Source organism: Homo sapiens, chromosome 13 (assembly GCF_000001405.40).
Source record: "Homo sapiens chromosome 13, GRCh38.p14 Primary Assembly".
Taxonomy (NCBI): Eukaryota; Metazoa; Chordata; class Mammalia; order Primates; family Hominidae; genus Homo; species Homo sapiens.
Window position 1 is genome coordinate 71,038,072 of NC_000013.11, and position 24,895 is coordinate 71,062,966.

At 34.5% G+C, this 24,895-nt stretch overlaps 1 long non-coding RNA gene across 1 annotated transcript in view, besides 2 other annotated features; it reads left to right on the top strand.

The window, feature by feature from the left end:
- The window catches only part of LINC00348 (long intergenic non-protein coding RNA 348), a 153,277-nt gene that overhangs the window by 22,931 nt on the left and 105,451 nt on the right, over positions 1-24,895 (top strand). The window lies entirely within an intron of this gene.
- Positions 17,599-18,155: an enhancer, noted in NCBI's record as "H3K27ac-H3K4me1 hESC enhancer chr13:71629802-71630358 (GRCh37/hg19 assembly coordinates)". NCBI's record gives its function as "activates a minimal SCP1, AML or CMV promoter by ChIP-STARR-seq in naive H9 embryonic stem cells {active_cell/tissue: H9 hESC(naive)}" and the evidence as "EXISTENCE:reporter gene assay evidence [ECO:0000049][PMID:30033119]".
- Positions 18,776-18,865: a silencer, noted in NCBI's record as "silent region_5393". NCBI's record gives its function as "represses an Ori minimal core promoter by ATAC-STARR-seq in GM12878 lymphoblastoid cells {active_cell/tissue: GM12878}" and the evidence as "EXISTENCE:reporter gene assay evidence [ECO:0000049][PMID:35858748]".

The following is a 24,895-nucleotide window of genomic DNA, read 5'->3' on the forward strand; positions in this document are numbered from 1 at the left end:
AGATCATGTCCTATGCAGTGGCATGAATGGAGCTGGAGGCCATTATCCTAAACAACCTAACACAGGAACAGAAAACCAAATACCACATGTTCTCACTTGTAAGTGGGAGCTAAACGTTGAGAACGCATAAACACAACGAAGGACCTACTTGAAGGTACAGGGTGAGAGGACGGAGAGGATCAAAAAACTACCTATTAGGTACTATGTTTATTACCTGGGTGATGAAATAATCTGTACACAAAATCCCTATGACATTCAATTTACCAGTATAACAAACTTGCACATGTACAACTGAACGTATAATAAAAGTTAAAAAAATAAAAATAAATTAAAAATGCATTGAATACAGCAGGATCAGCCATGTAACTTGGAAAGGTTTACCCAAGTATACATTGGGTAGGTAGAATAGCAGATATTTGTGCTCTTATGTTCTATGGTTCACTAAGTAATTTGTAGTATGAGATAATTTTCTCTTTCTTAATGATAAAATTACCATAGTACCAAAGTAACTTAGCTTTAGCCTTCTTCTAAAATAGGCATATTCAACCTCAGCAACTGGGCCAGACAAATTTTTGTTGAGGGAAATGTTCTTTGTGTTTTAGGATATTTAGAAGCACTTCTGGCCTCTGGCCAATAGCTGCCTAACACTCCTCTCCCTCTTTTCTAGAGTTGCAATAAAAAAATATGTCTAGATGTTGTCAAATCTTTCTTGGGGGGCAAAAGTGTCACCTCTTCAGAACTACCAGTTAGTAGATATGGTAAAAAGAGCCGGGTTGCTTTTTAATTTTATTGCATATTGACAAATTATAATTGTATATAATTATGGGATACAAAGTGCAGGAGGCTGAATGAAATAGGAGGATCACCTGAGTCTGGGAGTTCGAGGCTGCAGTGAGCTATGATCGCACAGTGCACTCTAGCCTGGATGACAGAGTGAGACCCTGTCTCAAAAAAAAAAAAAAAAAGGATAAAAAAGGAATATGCGATAATTGCGTACCTGCGATAATATGATGCAGGTACGCAATGTGGAATGATTAAATCAAGTTAATTAACATATCCATCATCCATCATCTCAAATACTTATTTGTGTGTTTGTGTGTGCAATGAAATTTATAAGCATGTTTCTGCTTTGTTTGGTTTGATTGTTTTTGTTACTCTAGTCTTTCTTTTGTTCTTGATTCTATAATGTAACACAGACATTCCCCAATTTGTGATGCTTTTACTTAACAACTTTTCAAGTTTCCAGTGGGATTATCAGCAGGTAACCCTATCGAAAGTTGAGAAGTAATTGTACTTATTATAGTTTGACTTAGGATTTTTTGACCTACAGTATTTTTGACTTATGTGGGCTCATCAGGACATAACCCCACCATGAGTTGAGGAGCATCTGTGTATTATCTGAACTCAAAGCAGATACTCTTTTGTAAAATAGTAACAGCAATTTGACACTTCATCTCTACCTGCATTACCTCTAACAATGATAGTGAAACAGGAGAGTTTCCTCATTCCTCTTGCAGGACATGCAGCAGGGATGTGGCTCTCCTGTTTGGTCACCCTGCTGCTCAAACCCCTTGTGGGAGGGGAAGCATGCAGACAGGCAGGTGCACAGTCTGGGGGAGTGCTTTGGGCTCCAGCTCTGTTGTAGTGTCTAGGGGTGGGTGCCTGCAACCCCAGTGTTACAAAGCTCCTTCAGCTTTGCCATCCACAGATGGCTTGAGTGCAAATCAGCTCAATGGATCCTCTGTCTTTTTGCAAGGGCAGAGGGCCAGTGTGACAGCTTTCTGTATCCTGAGATCTTGTCCAGCGTTCCGAAAAAATTGGGTCACACATAGATTCAAGGATGAACGTGCGGTTTTATTGAGTGGTGGAGGTGGCTTTCAGCGGGATAGACAGGGAACTGGAAGTGGGGGATGGAGTGAGTAGGTGATCCTCCCCTGGAGTTGGGCCGTCCAGTAGCCGGACTCCTCTCTGACCACCCCCAGCCATACTCCTCTCGGTGTTCAAATGTTCCTCTTCTCCCCCCTTTATCTGCTACATCATTCCACTATCTGTCTGCTGGTCTGCTGGCTTGCTGGTCTGCTCTGGAGCTTGGAATTCAGGGTTTATATGGGTTCAGGGTAGGGGGTGTGGTGGGTTGAAAGGCAACTTTTTGGGTGTGAAAACAGGAATGCCTGTTCTCATTTAGGGCCACTAGTATCCAGGCTCGAGGATGGGGCCTTTGCCGGAGAACTGCCCTCTTCTACCCAGTATTTCCCTGTCTCCTGTCCATGTCAATAGAGACAGTAGAAATGATGTATACAAAGCCTATAGTATGTCCTTAATAAAGACTAGCTGTAGTCATTCTTTTTCATAAACAAAGACTAAGTAAACAAAAGTATTATTTATCTTCTTCATTTGTGCTGAAATTTTTGAGGTATTTAGTTATTTCTTTCTATTTTTTATCTTTCCTTAACTTTTAATTTGAAATAAATATAGATCAAGAAGTTGCAAAAATAATGCAGAGAAGTCTCCTGTCCTCTTTATCCCATTTACTCTATAGGTAACATGTAACTCTAGTACAATATCGAAACTAGGAAATTGACATTGGTACAACCTACATACAGTACTTATTTAGATTTTGCCAGTTTTTATATTAATTTATTTGTGTATGTGTGTATATAATTCTTTTTTAAACATTTTTTCTTATACTTTAAGTTCTGGGAGGCCTTCTTTTGACTGTTGAGTTCTCCACAGTCTGGTTACAGATTGCGACCTCCTATGGAAAAGAATTACGATTATTTAAAATCTTTTCCACACAGATCTATATAGCATCATACATACCTAGGCCTCTGTAACATCAGCTACATTGATAGCAAGGGATGTCAGTCTGCTTTTCATCTCTTTTCAATAACATCCACCACAATATGCGTGATACATTGTTCCTTTTTATAACCATTTTTTATACTAAAATAGAATTCTGTAGATTCAAAGCAATATAGAAATCCCAAGTCTCACACAAAAAATGTAATTGGGGCCCAACTGTGCCTCTCCTTAGGTCTAACTCTGAGTCAAGACTGGGAATTATTATTATATGCTTATGAAGTATTCAGCATCCTTTGCTCAAAGTAATTATTGGTTTCTTCATTTATAGCTAAAGTTGATATAGGGAACACACTCGACAAAAAAAAAAAAAAAAAAATACACACAAGAGTCAGGATTTCTCCAGGGAATCTTGAAAGTATCTGCACTGCCAAATTCCAAAGAGGCTCTATCGTGATTATCTTACACTGACAATACCAAAGACACTGGCAATACGAAAGACACTGACTGCAATCTTGCAGGTACTAGAGAAAGGTTTCTAGCCATGTTTCAAAAGGGTTTATAGTCAGTCATTGAAATCCATTTTCTCCCACACAGGTATGCATGGAATTCTATCTCTATCCCTCCAAGAACTTTGTTTAAATAATTTTGCTTAAGAGGAATGAAATGTCCTTTTCTGTCAAGGTAGGAAATGTTTGCGCACTGATTTTATTCACGGCTAACAGAGTACCTAATGCAAGAGAGCTTCCTTGCTAGGCAACTTCCTCTGAGAGAGAGAGAGAGAGAGGGAGAGAGAGAGAGAGAGAGAGAGAGAGAGAGAGAAAGACAGTGTGTGTGTTGTTTCTGCACAGATTATCGGCCAGCATTGCAGCATGGAGAATTGCAATGTGCTGACATCTGGGCAGGTGCTTTCATGACCTTTCCAGTGCAACACAGATTCCTTATATAGTGACAATTGCATTCTGGCAGCAGTTAAATCTAGATTCAGTGATGCAATAAGACACAGTTCACCAGTCATTTATGAATTTTACATACAAACTCATGCATGAGAATAGTTCCAAGTGAGGAGAAAAGGAAAGTGGTTATTTTTATTTAGAGCATTTCTCTGTCTGTCTAAAAGAATCTATTAAAAGAAAATAAAATCATGTTTGCTTGGCTATTGACCATTCTCTTCCTTTTATAACAAATAGATTTAGTGTTCGACCTTAAGATATTTCTAGCAAGCATTCACCTTAGCAAACTTTTGAGTGCCTCAAAAGAGAATCTTTAACAACTTGTAACATTTCTTTGTGTAGAGCATTTTTGAAACCTTCATTGAATCAGTAATTTAGAAAAAGACAACCTATGGTAATATAAACAGCTTTAGTGGAGCACAGATAAAATGAATCCCTCAAAAATAGGTTGCCACATAAATACAGACCTAGTTAAATTTGAATTACAGGTAACAAAAGATTTCAATTTTTAGTATAAAGATACCCCATATATTGAATGGAAAACAGCTATATTAAAAATCTTTTTAATCTTAAATTCAAATTTAACTACATATCTTGTATGTTCTGTTTGCTAAATTTGTCACTTGCGTTCAATGGAACACAAGTGACAGATATATATTTCAAAATGTTGCTAGCATAATGTCAGTGTCGCTATATTCAAACATCTGAAATTATTTTCCTATTTTTTTCCAGCTCCATTATATACAATATTTAAAACAAATAAAAAGAGATGCTTCACTCAGCAGGCAGTCACCTTGTGAAATTCACTGTCACCATAGGTCACTGGGCTGAATAATTTTATGACCAATAATAACATTTGTCTGAACACATGCTGAGAAAAGGTATCAAATCTCACACTTTAGGGAGTAAGTTGCTCATTGCAGAAACTGGGAGAGAATGACTTCCTGCACAATTGGTTAGGGGCATTATAAGGGTTATGGTCATTGTCAGAGAGGCTGTTTGCCTCCATGGATCAGTACAGAGGCTGACAATCAATGCATGTGGTCCTAAAAGTGGATGCAAAATTCACTAATAGTAAGGAGGATGATCACGATGATTAAAATAATCATGCACAGCCTTAATTAAAAGAGGCATGTATCTATGGGCGGAAATGGTTAATTTTAGATTATTTTATTTGATACAATAGAAATAAATATATTAATTTATGAAGCCTGTTTTTCCCTTCTGGGCCAGGATTACAGGAGGTAGAAATAGTGGGGACAGTTCAATAGCCCTCCTCTTCTGCACAGGACTGCTGCCTTTCTTTATAGCCACATTGTATACAAAAGTTATCTCAGTTTTACAGAATGAAATGGAAAAATATTATAATCCAATTTTAAGTCATATAAAGGAAGTGATTTCACAAAATTATCAGAAAGGAAAGCTTGCCTATTCTTTTCAGCTATCAAACACCTCCTTTTACTCTTTCTTATGAATCTAGACTTGCCATGCTTTCTCTCTCTCTCTCTCTCTCTCGTTGTTTTGCAATGGATAAATGCTATGATAAATGAATTCATTGCAAAGTGACATCAGCTCCATTGAGTAAACTTTCATAAGGGAAGTCCTAGGGAAAGGGGAAAACAGAGAAGAGACAACCATTTAGCCAAAGCAATGAATGCCTAATGGTAGAATTTCCAGAGATGTAGGGGAAAATCCTTAGTGTCTTTCAAATCATTTCATATATGACTGCTTAGTTCACTTACTTTTAAGGCTACTACCACATTCTGAGCCCTTCAACTGTTGCTCCAGGGTTTGATTATGGTGCTTAAATCTGAAAACCAATGTAAGTTGTGAAAATAAAAATACAGTAGAAGGATGGGGAGATGTCCTACCTACTTCTGTAATTCTGAGAGGTCATAACTAAGCCAAATTAAGCAAAAACAAATTGCTGACTTTTGATTTTTATTTTTGTTACCAATTAACATTTATCATTGAATTGTAACTCAGTATCAGTACATCATTTGTATTGCAGGATGGTTCTCAGAGTCAATTATTGAGCTTAAGGAGGAATGATCTTTAAGGAAAATTGCAATTAGTAGGATTAAAATATACTTTCTTCAAACTCCCAGAAATGAACATAGTCCATAACAAAAACTTGAAGAAAAAAGAAAACATACATTTAAATGAATAGAATGATCACCTCTAGACACAATTAAACAATTATTAATTCCATCAAAATAATACTTACTATATACCCTTTACTCTGAGATACATCTAGTTACTTATATATTAACTACTTTAGTTACCAGAAACACACTCAAATGAAAACAGTTTGTGTAGCTAAAATCTGAGATAAAACAGATAATCAAGGAAGAAGTTCATTATAAAGAAGTAAATAATTTATTATTTCTGAGATGAAACTTGACGTTTAAAACTAGGGACATATTTGATACAATCAAAGAAATTGAAGCAACAGTTAAATATCTCAACGAGTTGTTTTGCATTATTTGTTGTTGAGACAAAGATAAATATTTGGAATAAAAATGAAAAGTTTACTATTAAATTTTATGAGTACTGTACCAAACTATAGGATGTTCAAATGCAAGTTGATAATAGTAATATTTTTAGCAAAGATGACTGATCTGATTTTTTGTTCATGTTTCAGTGTTACACTTACAATGCCTGAATCCAATATGTCCACTGAATCTCTCAATGTAGTTTCTCTCTCAGCCATTGAATTAATTACCCCATATATCTAATTTGTCAATACCTTAAATCTGGAGTACAAATTTTATACTGATGGATTTCCATGGAAGTAAGCATCACTTTTATATAGTGAAGTTGTTTCTTATCTTTCTTCTTTTAAAAAAATCATTTTGAAACAACCCAGATGTTTGGAATCATGTACTCAAATGCTTAATTAGTTTTCTGTTTTAGGAAAAAAAGTAGATTCTTTCTGGAACTGTCTCTTCATGGTAACAATCAATATTGAATTAGAAAATAATGAGTAAATAAGCCGGTATTTTAAAAAACATGTTTTATTTTCATCAGGTTAAGGACAAGGATTCCTTTTGAAGTATACGTTCCTGTCTAAAAGTTGCTATGTTTACATTAAGTAAATGCACAGACACTGCAACATATTTTAAACGTATATCAGATTACATCAAATAGCTTCATCTCAAAACCTTTTTCTTTTTTTGGTTTTCTTTTCATTCCCCTTTAGATTATAGTTGGCAAAATTCTTTCATCTTGGTGAAAATTTGGAGGCAACTTGGATTTTGCTTTCAAAGGCTGCATAATTTCTCACTGAAGTAAACAAGCCTAATTTTGGAAGCATATATTGTGCTCATTAAAGTGCTCCATTTGTAACTATAATATAAAATATCTACAGAGAGTAGATTTTGTTTAGTGTCTACAAGTACTTCATTTTATAGATATTTCCCAACCAACACACACAAACATACTTCAACCTTATGGCTGGCAGCAGTATATTGCCATCTGTGTGTTTGTATTTTAAGCAGAACATACTATGAAAATGTAGTAAAAATATACAACAGAAAAGAAAACTGAAGCCAGTTTTAAGTAGACTACTTCTTGGCTTGAAATAGTTATCATGCCAAACATTATCATCTGTGCTCTTCTAAAATAGTACTGTTAAATAAATATAAATGAATATCCACATTTTAGAAAGAGCAAATAGAAATGAACCAAATGGCTGGAAATGTTTGTTTCCTTAGGAAAAGGTCATCTTTAACAAATACAGTAATATACAGTCCCTCATATTTTCTTCTTTCCTTTAAATTATTTTAATTATAGCTACTATCTGTGTGTAATTTAAAAAAATCTTTATTGGGTGTATGTAAATATTATTCTGCACTTTGTAATTATGTTAACTATTTATAGATTCTCTACCATTATCTCTAAGATTAAGTTCCAGAAACTAGTATATTTTTGCTGCTTCAAACCAAGAATGAGAATATTTAATATTAGTAACTCAATTGGTATCAGATATTTTCTATATTTTCTTGAAGATCATCTTGTCAATAGCCAATACCAAATTTCTGGATAGAAATGGAAATATTTAGTAAATTATGTACACATTTTTATATCTTTTATATATCTAGGTCATTAGACTAATCACAAAATGTGACTGAAAGTTTTCATTTTTTCTAGATATCTAATGCATTAAAATTCTCAGTTCAGATTTTTTATGGCACATTTGAGAAAAATGATTTTTTAAAATTCAACCTGTATTTATTCTGTGTGTAATATAATGTTTCCTAATAATAGCTACATCTAACTTCATATGTTTTTATTAATTCATAAAATCAACCATCAAAAGATGGCCATAAGTAGCACCCACACTTCAAAAAACAAAAATCAATCTAATGTCTACAGTGCTTTTAGAACATGGTAAAATTTGTAACATACACCAAAGAACAACCAGTGACCCACAAATGAAATACAATTAACCCCTGTTGTGTTGGTTTCAAATGCAACAAACAATCAAACAAAATGCACATGAAAAATCAGATTTAGAAGATGGAATAGCAGCAACTGGAATTTACCTCCCACTTGAAACAACTAAAAAAATGCAAAAATATGAAACAGTTTTGACTAAACTGTAATTTAGTTTAGTCAAAACTAAAAGACAGTAATTCCTGAGAAAGAGCAAACAAACTAATTGAGTCCTATGATTACCCCAGGTTAGCATCTTAAAAGAATTTCCTTGCTAAGCAGCAGGGAAGGAGAACCCAGGTGGAAACAGTAGACTGAATGAATTAAGAAAGCAGAGTTGAAATTTGGGGAGAAAAAGGTGGCTTGAGTTTGCAGAGAATCAGAGAGAAGAGCACTGTACAAACATGTAAATTTGGCTGCAGTGGCTTCCCCTTGAGTTTTCAACTGAGTACTATTGAGTACACATTGTGTAACTAAACTGCCAAAGGCCAAGACACAATCTGAAAGGATTAGAGGAAACAGTTCCCAGCAATTACATAAAATTAGGAGTAGTGTCTTTTCCTACCAGCTGATTGGGAAACGATTCGCAAGGCATTGAAGACAGTACTCCAAAACATTTTGTCTCAGTAGTAGGGAATAATTAACCTTAGAGTAAGCACTGCTCTAGTCTTATTAAACAAAGTTTAAAAGCAAGACCCAAAGTGAGCAACCTCATTTTAAGTAACTTAACTATGACCCAGAACAATGCTAAAGAATATTGACAGAAACACAAAAATATTGAAGCATACAAAAATATCCATCACCTAAGAAGGTAAAATTTGCAACATATTTGTAAATATAACTTATGGTCAAATATTGCCAAACATGTAAAGAAGTAGGAAAATACAAACCATAATGAGGAAACAACTCAGTCAGTCATAATCAACTTAGAACTGACACAGATGATAGAATTAATAGACAAGGGTATTAAAACAGTCATTATGAACTCCATATGTCCAAAAAATTAAGAATGGAAAATTTAAAAAGATAGAAGTCAAACTTCTAGAGAGAAAAACTGCAATGTCTAAATACACTGGACAAGAATGATGCCAGATTAGACACGGCAAAATAAAAGGATATGAAATTGAAGACTTAACAATAGACATTATCCAAACTAAAACACAGAAAAAAAGTAACAAAAACAGTGAAAAATGCATCAGTGAGCTGTAGGACAACTTTAGGCAGACTACTATTCAGTAATTGGGATATTAAGCAGGGAGGAAGTATGAAAAAATATTTTTGAAAAATTATTTTTCAATTGCAGAAAAAATAAACATAGGGATCCCAGAATCTCTACAAAACCCCGTCACAAGAAGCATGAAAAAACAAACAGAAGAGGAAATGCTAAAAGTATGTAGAGAACAAAAATACATGTTATGCAAAGAGGAAAAAAGATAAGGATGGCAGTAGATATCTCATCAGAAGCAATGTAAACAAGAAAAGAGTAAGCAGTAACGCAACGGAAAAAGAAATCTGAAAATCCCTAAATATGTAGAAACAAACAAACAAAAAAACACTTTAAAATAGCAAATTGGTAAAAGATAAAATTTTTTAAAACTAGAGAGTATTTTTAGCTGAATGGTAATGAAAAATTCACCAAAATTGTGGAATGTTACTAAAGTAGTCTGTAGGTGGACATTTATAGCTTCAAAAGCTTATATTAGAAAAGACAAAAAAAAAAAAAACTCAACGATCTCAGTTTTCCACATTAAGAAACAGACAGACAAAAAAAAAAGCAAAATAAATTTGAAATACAAAAGAGAAAATAAAGCTCAGAACACAAATCAATGAAATAGAAAAAAGAAAAATGGGGAAAAAATCAATGAAATGAAAGCTGTTTGGTGGGGAAATCAATTAAATTGATAAATTTAGAGTCAGATTAACCTTCAAAAAAAGAGAAAATACACAAATTACCAGCATAAGAATTGAGAGATTCTTATATTGAAAGAGGTGACACAGCTATTAAAATAAAGATAACAAAATATTGACAACATTCTATAAATGCATATGAATAGGACAAATCTTTGAAAGACACAAACTACTAAAACTCATTCAAGAAGAAATGCATTACCTGAGTAGTCCTTTAATTATTAAAGAATGTAAATGTATGGTTAAAACACCTTTCCACAAAGAAAACATCATGTCCACAAGGCTTCACTTGAAATTCTACCAAATATTTTTAAAAAGAAATATAAATTCTACCCTAACTACCCTCATACATTGCTGGTGGGAATGTAAAATGATATAACCACTGTGGAAAACAGTTTGAGTCATTTTTTGAGAATTACTATATGATCCAAACATTCTACTCACAGCCATTCCAATATATTTCTCTTTATTCAAGGGAAATTAAAGCAAATATTCACACCAAAACTGGTACCCAAATGTTCACAGTGGCTTTATTCGCAACGGCCCCACACTGGAAACAACCTAAGCCTTCATCAATATGTGAATGGGATAAACAAGTTGTATTTATCTGTCAGTAGAATACTATTTAGCAATAAAACGAGCTATTGAAATATTAGCATACATGGATAAATCTCAAAATAATCATACAAAATATATCAGAAAGAAAACAGTACATAGTGTTTGATTCTGTTTATATAAAGATCTAGAAGATGCAAACTAAGTTATTTTGACAGAGAGCCTAGCAGTGAATGCCTGGGGAATGGGCACATGGTAGGGGTGGATATGGGTAGAAGGGAGGGATTGCAAGGGGGCAATAGAAAATTTGGGGGAATTATGGATATGTTTATCCATCTTGACAGATGTGATATAGTCACAATTGTATGCTTATATTAAAACAAGCTTTACACTTTAATGCACTATAATATAAGCATTTTAACATCAATTATACCTGTTAAATATATACAGATGTTAAAAAAGAAAAAAATCAGATTTACATGAAAAGAGCTTATGAGTATCCTCATGCCTCTATCCTTAAACCAGATCCTTAGACTCAAATTCAGCATGGTATTAATTTATTCAAAATATTCTTTACCTAAACATGATTATCGGTTTCTAAGTTTACTAAAGATTAATTGCAACAGATTAAAGGTCCTTTGCTTTTTTCATAATTAGGTAGGGTGGTAGAAGATCTAAAAAAGAGTAGTTGATATTGACACATAAAGACTTGTAACATACATAAATGTACCTATACTATGTACTGAAGTAAAACATAGCTGCATGCATCCATACAAACTGCCTTGAGTCATAAGAGGAGTCTCTATTCCTGTAAACATTAGCTTTGCTCCCATGTACCAAGGACTGAGCTAATTACTTTATATGCATTCTCTCATTTAATGCTCATAGCAAACCTATAAATTAGCATGTTTACTGAGACTGAACAACATGTTTAAGATCACATAGCAATAAGTAGAAGAGAGAAGATTTGAACGCAGTTTATTATGGAACCAGAGTCATCTCCTAACCACTCCACTCTGCTTCCTTTCAGAATAAATGCAGCGCCACTGTCTTGTATGCACCTTCGATATATACACAAAACAGAATATTTAGAGAATCAATTGTTTTCTTTTAAGAAACATAAAAATAATGACTCAAAACTATAGCTGTGTGTCAGTATTTCTGAAAATAAAATGAGATCATTATTACCATATAGAGATGGAATAAAGGCGGATGAAGAACAGCAGTTTAGCCATAATAATTTCATTAGGACAAATCTGTGGAGAGATGAAAGGAGCAGATCACTAACAGATTGCTAGTGAAATGGAGAGTGTGTTGAAGTCGTTGAATGTGATAACAGTTACAGAAATGAAAGTTGAAATGCTTCAGAGGAACGAACAGAAAAACGAAAGCGGTATTTTCTATCTGTCTTAGCACATCAGGAAAAGGGAAAATGCATATTTTGTCAATTCCATCTAGTCATTGATCTCTTTTGTATGCTCAGTCTAATGAGGCAGGTAGGGGAAATGCATAATGGTTCTTACATGTGTGCTTTATTGGATTCAGATTATTGTGCAGAACTAAATTGTGTTTCACAAAAGAAGGCGTATTTAAATGGATACATCCTTTATTACAGTAAAGATAAAAAATTTAACTTATCAGAATTTTGAAAAAGGAGTTGTTACAATAGCTAACTCTGAACTGCTTCTAAAACCTTACTGCAAGTTATTATAGCTAAACCAATAACAAAAGAAAACAAACAAAAAATACCCCAAACATCTATTTTACCAGTGCTGTTTCTGTAACACTGAACTCTACATTTTGAGGATTGTTCCCAGTTCTTTCATCCAATAAAACTTCTGCCAATAGGAGGTCATTCCTTATGTTTGACATCAATCCTTCTTTTTAAAAGCATTAGACTATAGCAAAATTAATTGAATTCAAGTCAATTAATGCAAAAACAGAATAGCAACACATATACACACCTTTGAAATACAAACCAGCTTTTTCGTTACATCTAAAGAGAATTTTAATATAATATTTAATAATGGTATATTTTACCAAATATAATTAGCAGCTTTTTACCATTTTAACTGAAGTTCCCAACACATTGCTAAGCATTTTATAAGCGCTCAATTTAAAAAAAAATTGGATTTGTAAAACATGAGACATCTGCAAAGCATGAAAAAATTTTAATAAGAAAGTTACCCATTACACATAATACTATTATTCAACCAGAAGTGGTGTATACCTTTATAATCTTTCATGTTGTATACAGAAATATTTTTCATATTACAAATAGTTTATATTTTTCCTCTATTAACCATACAGAATTGGAATAATTTCCACTATCCTTAAATATTATCTGAATACAATATGGTAGTGGACATATGGTATAGCCAAATTTTCCTATTACACGTGTAACATTAGTTCATGTAGGTGTTCATTTTCCCCATGTAATTCTGTTTCCTAATATAGCTATTGTTAATAGTTTGAATACCTTTAGAACTCTTGATAAATATTTTAATTTTAAAAAATTTAATTAATTTACTCTCCCAGGAAATGTCCTTGCTGTATATGATTTTACTCTCTCTCTCTCCCTCTACACACAAACACACACACACACACACACACACACATATATTCCCAAATCTCTCAGAGTAGTAAATTCTTCTAAAGTATTATTATTTATTGTGGTAAAATATGCATAACATAAAATCTACTATCTTAATCATTTTTAAAGTATAGAATTCAGTGGTATTAAATACATTCATAACTCTTTTCAACCATAATTGTCATCCATCTCCCTAACTCATTTCGTTTTATAAAACTGAAACTCTATGCCCATTAAACAAAAACTCCCCACTTCTCCCTAGCTCCAGGCCCTGACAATGACTATTCAACTGTCTGTCTCCATGCTTTTCACTACTCTAAGTATTTCATACACAGTTTTTTTTTTTTTTTTGAGGCAGGGTCTTGCTCTCTTGCCCAGGCTGAAGTGCCGTGCTTCAATCATGGCTCACTGCAGCCTTGACCTCCTGGGCTCAAGTAATCCTCCTATCTCAGCCTTCCAAGTAGCTGGGACTACAGGCGTACACTACCACACTTAGATAATTTTTTACCTTTTGTAGAGACAGAGTCTGGCTGTGTTGCCCAGTCTGGTCTCAAACTCCAGGGCTCAAGCAGTCCTCCCACCTTGGCCTCCCAAAGTTCTGGGATTACATGCATGAGTCACTGTGCACAGTATTTATCTTTCTGTGACTGGCCTATTTCACTTAGCATAATGTCCTCAACGTTTATCCATGTTCTAGCTTATGCTAGAATCCCCTTTCTTTTTAAGACTGAATAATATTCCATTGTATGGATATAGCATATTTTGCTTATCCATTCATCTGTTGATGGACACTTGAGTTGCTTTATGTTTTAGCTATTGTGGGTAATACCGTTGTAAACATGAGTGTACATTAATATCTTTTTGAGATGCTCATTTCACTTCTTTTGGGTATAACTGAGAAGTTAAATTGTTGGATTATATGGCAATTCCATGTTTAATTTCTTTAATTAGTTTTTCCTATTTTATTAATATATAATAAGTTACATATTTATGGGGTACATTTGAGTATTTGTTACATGCAAAGAGTGTGTAATGATCAATTCAAAGTAACCGAGATGTACATCATCATAAATGTTTATCACAATTTCATATTGGTATCATTTCAAGTCGGCTCTTCTAGTTACTCTAAATTAAATAACATTGCTGACAAATATAGTCATCATAGTCTGCTCGAAAACATTAGAACTCATTTCTTCCATGTAATGTATGTTTGCACCCATAACCAACTTCTCTTCATTATGCAATGAACTTCTTTGTCTTTTTTTACTGTTTTCGACTTAAAGTCATTTTAATCTGATATAAGTGTTGCTACTCCTGTTCACTTTTGGTTTCTACTTGCATGAGATATTGTTTTTTGTCCCTTTACTTTCAATCTACATGTGTCCTTATAGATAAAATGCATTTATTCTAGGCAGTATATAGTTGAATCATGTTTTTGTTTAAAAAAAATCTATTTAGCCAGGCTCTATCTTTAATTGAAAGTTTTAATCAATTTACAATCAGGTTCATTATTGATATATGAGGTTTTGTTCCTGTCACATTGTTTTTTGTTCCCTGCCCTGTTCCCATTCACCATTCCCAGTTTCTGGTATCTATCAGTCCATGATATCACGGTTTTCAGCTCTCACAGTATTCATCTTTCTGTGCCTGGCTTTTTTCACTTAACATAATGAGCTCCATTTCCATCCATGTTGCTGCAAATAACATGATTTCATTCTTTTTATGGCAAATTTCATATGGCCAGTATTTCATTGTGTATATGTACCACATTTTCTTTATTGATTCATCCATTGATAGGAATTTAGGTGGATTCTATATCTTTGCTATTGTGAATAGTGCTGCTATGAACATAAGAATGCAGCTATCCCTTTGATATACTGATTTCCTTTGGATAGATATCCAATAGTGGGATTGCTGGGTCATATGGTAGTTACTAGTTTTTTGAGAAATCTCCATTCTGATAGCAGCTGTACTTATTTACATCCCCACCAAGAGTGTATAGGGGTTCCTTTTTGTCTTCATCCTTGCCAGCATCTGTTATTTTCTTTTCTTTTTATAATAGCCATTCTAACTGAGGTGAGATAATATCTCATTGTGGTTGATTTACATTCCACTAATGATTAGTGATGTTGAGCATTTTTGTTTATATTTTCAAAGAATAAAGTTCATTTGATTGATTCTTTATATTGTTATTTTTATTTCTATTTCATTTAGTTATGCTCTGATCTGTATTTCTTTTTTTCTGCTAATTTTGTATCTGATTTGTTCTTGCTTTTTTAGTTCTCTAAAGTGCATCACTAGATTATTTGAAATCTTTCTGTTTATTAACAAAATATAGGCTTTTATTACTGTCAACTTTCCTCTTAGCACTGCTTTTTCTGTTTCCCACACGTTTTGGTATGTTGTCTTCCCATTTTCATTTGTTTCAAGTCATTTTTAGATTTCCATCTTAATTTTTCATCAAATCAATGATTGTTCATAAGCATGTTGTTTAATTTCTATGAATTTAAATATTTTCCTAAGTTCCTCTTGGTATTGATTTCCAGTTTTATTTCATTGTGATCAGAAAAGATACTTGATATGATTTTTATTTTTAGTAATATTCTGAGATATGTTTTGTGGTCTAACATATGGTCAATACTGGAGGTTTCATTTGTTGATGAAAAGAATGTGTATTCTGTATCTGTTAGATTAAATGTTCTGTAAATGTTTTTTACTCAGTTTAAGTCTAATGTTTATTTTCTGTCTAGAGGATCTGTCTAGGCAGATCTTTACTAGATCTAGTAAAATTTGTTTTATGAACCTGGGTGTTAATATTTGTGTGCATATATATTTACAATTGTTATATTCTCTTGCTGGATTGATAGCTTTATCATTATGCAATGAACTTCTGTCTCTTTTTTTACTGTTTTTGATTTAAAGTCATTTTTATCTGATATAAATGTTGCTACTCCTGTTCACTTTTGGTTTCTACTTGCATGAAATATCATTTTTCATCCCTTTACTTTCAATCTACATGTGTCTTTACAGATAAAATGCATTTTTTCTAGGCAGCATATAGCTGAATCATATTTTCCTGTTTTAAAGAATCCATTTAGCCAGTCTCTATCTTTAATTGAAAATTTTAATCAGTTTACAATCAGGGTCATTATTGATATATGAGGTTTTGTTCCTGTCATACTGCTTTTTATTTTCAGGTTCTTTTGCATATTCTTTGTTCCTTTCTTTTTCTCTTATTGTCTTTGTGGTTTGCTGACTTTCTGTGGTCATACAATTTGAGTCGTTTCTCTTCCTCATTTGTGTGTTTGCTTTACCTGTAAGTTTTATATTTTCATGTGTTTTCATGATAATAACTGTTGTTCTCTAATTTATAAGTTTAGGACTCCATTGAGGATTTCTTGTAAGGCAGGTCTAGTGATAATAAAGTCCCTCAACATTTGCTTGTCGTGGAAAGACTATTTCTCCTTCAGTTGTAATGGATAATTTTGCTGGATATAATACCCTTGGCTGGCAGTTCTTTTTATTTTCATAACTCTGTATATATCCATCCATTCTCTCCTGGTCAGTAAGACTTCTGTTAAGAAGTCTGCTATTGGTCTGATGGGGGCTTTTTTATAGGTGACTAGATAATTTTATCTTGCAGTTTTTAGAATTGTTTTTTTGTCATTGACTTTACACAGTTTGACTTTAATATTCTGTTGAGAATAACTTTTTGCATTATATCTGATTGGAGATTGCTGAGACTCCTATATCTGGGTGTCTAAATATCTTGCTAAACATGGGAAATTTTTATCTATTATCTCAAAAAATAAATTTTCAAACACTTTTGTTATCATTGCCTTTGGGGATACCAATAATTCATGTATTTTATATATCACAAAGATGTTGCTTTTTTTATTTTTGGTCTCATGGAGTTATCTGAAAATATCTGTCTTCAAGCTCTAAGATTCTCTCTTCTGCTTAATCTAGTCTATTGTTGAAGCTTCCAAGTATATTTTGTATTCCATTAAAGGAATTTTTTAGTTCCAGCTTTTCTATGTTCCTCTCTTTTTCTTGTGATATATAAATTTGTCATTCATATCTTGAAATGTTTTTCCGATTTTTTGTATTTTTTTTAGAATTTCTCTTACATTTCACTGTGCTTTTTAGTATTATATTTTTTATTCTCTTCTGGAATTTTGTGAATTTCTTTTATTATAATCTGTTGCTGAGGAATTAATGTGTTCCCTTGGAAGTGTCATATTTCATTGCTTTTTTCCTTACATTGATATCTGTACACCTGGTCTAATAGTCTCTTCTTCCAGTTTTCAAATTTGCTTTCATAGGAGAGGACTTTTTCCTGAAGATTTGTCAATGGTGTTGTTTAGATAGACTCTTTTAGTTTTGATTATGGGTGCATGTGGTAGTGTAGTCTCTGTATGATTTTTTTGGCTATAAACAACAGCATCAGTGGTATTTGTGATTTCCTCTGTGGTTTAACAAGTGGTTACTAGTGGAGGCTCTGGTGAAGTTTTACTGGGGACAGGGGTGCCAGGTGGGCCAGTCTTTGGGCCCCAGGGGTGGCATCACTGGGCTGAGCAAGGCTGATGCCTGATCTTGAGCCCTAAGGCGCTGTATGTTGACACCAATGTTAGCAGAACCAGAAGGCCGAATTCTTGGGCTATGAGGTGACTTGCTAAGATGCCAGTAGTGGCAGCAGTGGTCCAGGTGGGTGAGAATATTCTCGGAGCCCTGGAAAGCCAAAATGATGTAGGCAATGGCAGTAGCAGTGGTGGGAAAACCCTCTGAGTCCCATGTGTTGTGCACAGGTAGTGGCAGTGGCTGTGGTGTGGCAACACCACTGACAGCACCAGGCATGCAACTCTCTGGCTCTGTGGCAGGAGCACCCCAGCACTGCAGAGAGGGAGAGAGAGATCTTGGCCTTCGTGTGTGAGCTCAGGCACAGAAGCCACACCATCATTGGGTGTAGAGTTGCTACTCACATATCTAGACAGGCAGCCCTCCAGCTCTTCTTCCCCTTCCTCTGGTGGCAGCATCAGTGGCTGTTGTGTCTACAGTGAGGGTGTGAAGGGGCAGGGGAGGTCTCGTGCTATATGTGTGAGCCTGAGCACAGAAACTACAGCACCAGTGGAAAGGTATCATATTCTCCACTTACAAGGCCAAGCACAGAGTTTGTGCCATTGCTGGAGGCAAGGCCACATCTCACAGCCCCACACAGGTAACTCTCAGGCTCTGGAAAGCACGTGCTTTGGATCTCTTTTTGCCAGGGGCTGTCTTTTTGGTGTACTGTACTGTCATTTCCCTGGGCAGTAGTATTTCCTGTGGGCTAGAATACTGGGGACCCCACAGCACCTTTAGGTCCAGTCAGTACTGTGAAGATATGGAAGCTGTGCTCTCCAGGCAGGATGCAGTCCCCTGATGGCTGTGCTCTCACAATGGCACCTGGCTACAGCCACTTAGGTCTCAGTTCGGGGGCGGGCAGGAGAGTAAGCAACACAGCATGAGTTTCCTGTCTGTTGCAGTGCTCTTGCAGCGGCTCCAAATCACTGCTCACGTGTGTCAGGGTTTATGTGAGTAGAAGGGTTCTCCTTTGGTTGGGTGGGGATGTAGACTGCTGAAGTCCTCTCACTTAATCTTTACCTAAAACACTGAGCCCTTCCAGGCTGCTGGTTGATCTCAGAAAACTGGCTGCTTGTTTCCTTCTGTGCCTCAGATATTTCCTGTGACTTCCCTGTTAGACTCTAGTGTCCTTTCCTAGATGTTCTATTTGAGATAAAGTTATCTATTCATAACATTTGTTATTTCTGGAGAGGGCATGTATTTGATATCACTAGTCAGCCATCTTGAACCTGAATCTTGTTTAAGTTTTTTGAAAAACTGCCATACTGTTTTCCACAGTGGCTGTACCATTTTACATTCCCATCTAAGGTGCGAAGTGCTCCAATTGCATCATATTCTTGCCAATATTTGCTGTTTTCTGTGTTTTTTTTATAGTAACAATTGCAAAGGGTGTGAAGTGGGATCTCTTTGGAGTTTTGATTTGCATTTTCCTATTGATTAGTGATAATGAGTCTCTTTTTATGTGCTTATTGTTCATTTGTATATATTCTTTGAAGAAATGTATATTCAAGTCTTTTACCTATTTTGAATTGGTTTATTTTGTTGTTTTTAAATTTTGGAATGTCTCCATATATTTTGGAATGTCTCCATATATTTTGGATAATAACCCCTCATTAGATATAGAATTTGAAAATACTATATCCCATTCTTAGATACATTTTACTTAGATACGTCAATAGATACTGTCTTTTGATGCACTTTTTAAAACAATTTTATTTCTATTTCAATTTGTTTTGTGTGATTTCATTACCTGTGTTTTTTGCTGGCATATCCAAGAAATTTTGCTGAACTCAATGCCATGAAGATTTTAATTTTGTATTTTCTTCTAAGATAGTTTTAAGTATTACATTTAAGTCTGATTTCATTTTGAGTTTACGTTTGTGTATGATGTTAGATGAGGGTATAGTTTCCTTCTTTTCATTATGGATATCCATTTTTTCCAGTATAATTTGTTGAAAAGACTATCCTTTCCCCTATAAATGGTCTTAAAATATTTGCCCAAAATATTTTGACCATATATTCCAGGGCTGATTTATTGATTCTATTCTATTTTTGATCTATATGTGTGGTTATTAAACAAGTGCCACATTGTTTTTATAGCCACAGTTTTGTAGTAAGTTTTGAAATAAAGAAGTTTGAGTCCTACAAGCTTAATATTCTCTTTCAAGATAATTTTGGCTATTGAGAACCACTTGAGAGTCCATATGAATTTTAGGATAGATTTTTAAATTTTAATCCTAATGACAAAAAGTTATTAGCATTTTGGTTGTGATTACTTTCAATCTGTAGATCTCTTTGGGCAGTATTGACATTTTACAATGCTAGTTTTCCAATTCATGAGCACAGGATGTGTTTTTATTTATGTATTCTCTTTTTTCAGCAACGTTTTGAAGTATCATTATATATGTCTTTCATCTCCTTTGCTAAATCCTATTTTATTCATTTTGATGCTATTGTAAACTAAATTGTTTTAGTAGTTTTCTTTTCAGATTTTTCATTGTTAGTACATAAAAATGCAACTGATTTTTATGTGTTGACTTTGTATTCTGCTTATTTTTTGAATGTCTTTATTAGTTCCAACATATTTTTGTAAAATCTTTAGAACTTTTTTCACATATGATTATATCATCTGCAAACAGAGATAATTTTACTATTTCTTTTTAATTGAAGGGTCTGTTTTTTTTTTGGTTGTCTAACTGCTCTGGTTAGAACATCCAGTACTATGTTGAATTGAAGGGATAAAAGCAAGTATCCTTGCCTTCTTCCTAATCTTAGAGGAAAATATTCAATATTTCAATGTTGAATATGATGTTCAATGTAAGTTCTGCCTATAAGAATTTTGTTGTGTTGAAGTATTTTGTAGTTTGTTGAATATTTTTATCCTGAAAGGATTTGAATTTTGCCAAATGATTTTCCTGCATTAATTGAGATGATCACAGTTTGTTTTCTTCATTCTGTTAATATAGCATATGGCATTGATTGATTGATTCTCATATGTTGAATCATCCTTGCATTTCAGGAAAAATCATGGTCATGAAATATAATCCATTTAATATGATACTGAATTAGGTTTGCTAGTAATTGGTTTAGAAGTTCTGCATCAGTATTCATAAAGGAGATTGGTCTATAGATTTCTTATTTTGTAAGACTTATCTTTGTATGACTTTCGTGTCAGGATTATTCTGGCCTCATAGAATGAGTTATGAAGTGTTACTTCCTCTTCAATGTTTTGGAAATATTTCAAGATTGGTATACTTAAATAATTTCTACTTTATATGTTTGGGAGCATTCGTCCATAAGACTACCAGGTCCAAGCCTTTTTCCTTGTTGAAAGTTTTGTTTTTTGGGTTTTTTTTTTTTTTTGTCTTTTTTAACTGATTCAATATCTGCACTAATTTTAGGTCTGTTTAGATTTTCTATTTCTTCATAATTTACTTTTGGTAGCTTTAGTATTTCTAAGAATTCATCAGTTTCATCTAGATTATTGAATTTGTTAGTGTATAATTATTCATAATACCCTCTTATAATACATTTTATTTCTGTATAATGCAAAGTAATGTTCCACTTTCATTTCTTATTTTAGTAATTTTAGTCTTTTCTCCTTTTTTAGTACATCTAGCTAAAGATTTGACAATTTTGGAGATTTTTTCAAGAAACCAACTTAGGGTTACATTTAATTTTTTCTGTTTTTCTATTCTCTTTTATTTGTCTATGTTCAAATATTTATTATTTCTTTATTTCTGCTAGTAGTGGGTTTAGTTTGTTATTTTGTTTTTAGTATCTTGCAAAGTTAGTAAGTTGCAAAGTTAGGTTGTTGCTTTCAAATCTTTCTTACTTGTTTAGCTGAAGCATTTATGATTACGAATTACATGCCTAGAACTGCTTTCATTGCATCCCGTAAGTTTTGGTATGTTGTGTTTTATTTTTCATTCATCTCTAAGTATTTTCTAATTTTATTATAATTTCTTCTTTGTTCTTCAATCCATTTGGTTGTTTAATATTATGTTGTTTAATTTTCACAAATTTGTGACTTTATCAGTTTAGCTTCTGTCACCAATTTCTAACTTTATCTTGTGGTTAAGAAAGATACCTTGTATGCAAGCTCTCATTTTACATATATGAAGACTTAATTTGTGGCCTCACATATGGTGTATCCTGGAAAATGTCTCATGCGTACTGCTGTTGTTAAATAGAGTGTTCTGTATATTTCTATTTGATTTAGTTAATTTCTTGTATAATGTGTTTTAATCCTCTATGTATTCATCTCATGTCTGGCTATTCTGTGCATTATAGAAAGTAATGTACTCAGGTTTCTATTATTGCATAAATATCTATTTTGCCCTTTAATTCTGTTCATTTTGCTTTATATATTTTGATAGCCTGCAATTAGGTGCCTAAATATTTATAATTGATACATATTCTTGCTACATTTGAATGTTTTATTAATAGGTAATGTTCTTCATTGTTACTCATGAACTTTTTGCCATGGCTCACACCTGTAATCTCACCACTTTGGGAGGCCGAGGCAGGTGGATCACGAGTTCAGGAGCCCGAGACCAGCCTGGCCAGCATGGTAAAACCTTGTCTCTGCTAAAAATACAAAAATTAGCTGGGCATGGTGGCTGGTGCCTGTAATTCCAGCTACTTGAAAGACTGAGGCAGGAGAATCATTTGAACCTGTGAGGTGGAGGTTGCAGTGAGCTGAGATTGCGCCATTGCACTCCATTCTGGGTGACAGGGTGAGACTCCATCTCAAAAAAAAAAAATTCCAATATAAAATACATATTGTTTGATAGCATAGCCACTTCTACTCTCTTTTGTGTACAATTTTCATGTAATATCTTTCCATCCTTTCATTTTCAATCTACTTGTGTGTTTGGATTTAAAATAGTCTCCTGTAGGCAGGATATAGTTTCCTTCTGTGTTTTTTTGTTTGTTTGTTTCTTTTAAAGTTTTTTTTTTTAATTTTAATGTAGTCAAAGTTACTTATTTTTTCTTTGTTGCTTGTGCTTTTTGGTGCCATATTTTTTTTTCTTTCTTTTTTCTTTTCTTTTTTTTTTTTTTTTTTGAGATGGATTCTCACTCTGTCACCCAGGCTGGAGTGCAGTGTCATTATCTCAGCTCACTGCAATCTCCACTTCCTGGGTTCAAATGATTCTCCAGCCTCAGCCTCCCAAGTAGCTGGGATTACAGGTGTGTGCCACCACAACCAACTAAGTATTTTTTTTAAGCTATTCTTCTAATCTCTGTCTTTTGATTGAAGAGTGTAATACATTTAAAGTAATTACTGATAAATATGGCCTTATATCTGCCATTTTGCTAGGTGTTTCCTATATTCCTTATAACCATTTTGATCTTTACATTCTGCATTGCTGTCTACTTTTATCTTGAGTTTTTGTTTATGACACTTAAATTTCTTTCTCACTTTCTTTTGTGTATATTCTATAGCAATCATCTTAATGATTCCCAAGGTGTATTAGTCTGTTCTCACACTGCTAATAAAGAAGTACCTGAGACTGGGTAATTTATAAAAAGGTTTAATTGACTCACACTTCAGCATGGCTGGGGAGGCCTCAGAAAACTTACCATCACGGTCGAAGGGAAACAAACATGTCCTTCTTCACATGGTGGCAGGAGAGGGAAGAATGAGAGCTGAGTGAGGGGGGAAGCTCCTTATAAAACCATCAGGTCTCATGAGAACTCACTATCATGAGAATAGTATAAAGGAATTGCCCCCATGATTCAATTACTTCCCACCAGGTTCCTCCCATGACATGTGGGGATTATGGGATCTACAATTCAAGATGAGACTTGGGTGGAGACAAAGCCAAACCATATCATTCTGCCTCTGGCCCCTCCCAAATCTCATGTTCTCGCATTTCTAAATACAATCATGCCTTCCCAAAAGTCCCCCAAAGTCTTAATTCATTCCAGCATTAACTCAAAAGTCCAAGTCCAAAGTCTCACCTGAGACAAGGCAAGTCCCTTCCCACCTGTGAGCCCATAAAATCAAAAGCAAGTTAGATACTTCCTAGATACAATGGAGGTACAAAAATTGGGTAAATACACTGATTTCAAATGGGAGAAACTGGCCAAAATGAAGACGCTACAGGCCCCACACAAGTTCAAAATCCAGTAAGTCATTCATTAAACCTTAAAATTCTAAAATGATCTCCTTTGACTCCATGTTTCATATCCAGGTCACACTGATGCAAGAGGTGGGCTCCTTTGGGCTTAGGCAGCCCCACTTCTATAGCTTTGCAGGGTATAGCTCCCATTCTAGCTGCTTTCATGAGCTGGTCTCATGAAAGAGACCAGATTTTCCAGGTGCATGATGCAAGCTGTCATTCGACCTACCAGTCTGGGGTCAGGAGGATGGTGGCCGTCTTCTCACATCTCCACTTAGCAGTGCCCCAGTGGGGGACTCTGTGTGGAGCCTCTGACCCCACATTGGTTATCCATGAGGGCCTCACCCCTGCAGCAGACTTCTGCCTGGACATGGAAGCATTTCCATACATTCTCTGAAATCTAGGAGGAGGTTTCCAAACCTCAATTCTTGACTTCTGTGCACTTGCAGGCTCAGTACCATGTGCATGCTGTCAAGACTTGGGGCTTTCAGCCTCTGAAGCCATGGCCTGAGCTGTACCTTAGTCTATTTTAGCCACAGCTGGAGTGGCTAGGATGCAGGATACCAAGCCCCTAGGCTGCACACAGCACTGGGGCCCTGGGCCCAGCCCAGAAAACCATTTTTTCATCCTACATCTCCAGGCCTGTAATTAGTCAGGCTCCCATGAAGGTCTCTGACCTGACTTGGAGACATTTCTTCCATTGTCTTGTAGATTAGCATTTGGCTTCTCGTTACTTATGCAAATTTCTACAGTAGGTTCAAATTTCTCCCTACTGCATCATCAGGCTGCAAATTTGTTAAGCTTTTATTCTCTGCCTCCTCTTGAACGCTTTGCTGATTAGAAATTTCTTCTGCTTGATACCCTAAATCATCTCTCTCATGGTCAAAGTCCCAGAGATCTCT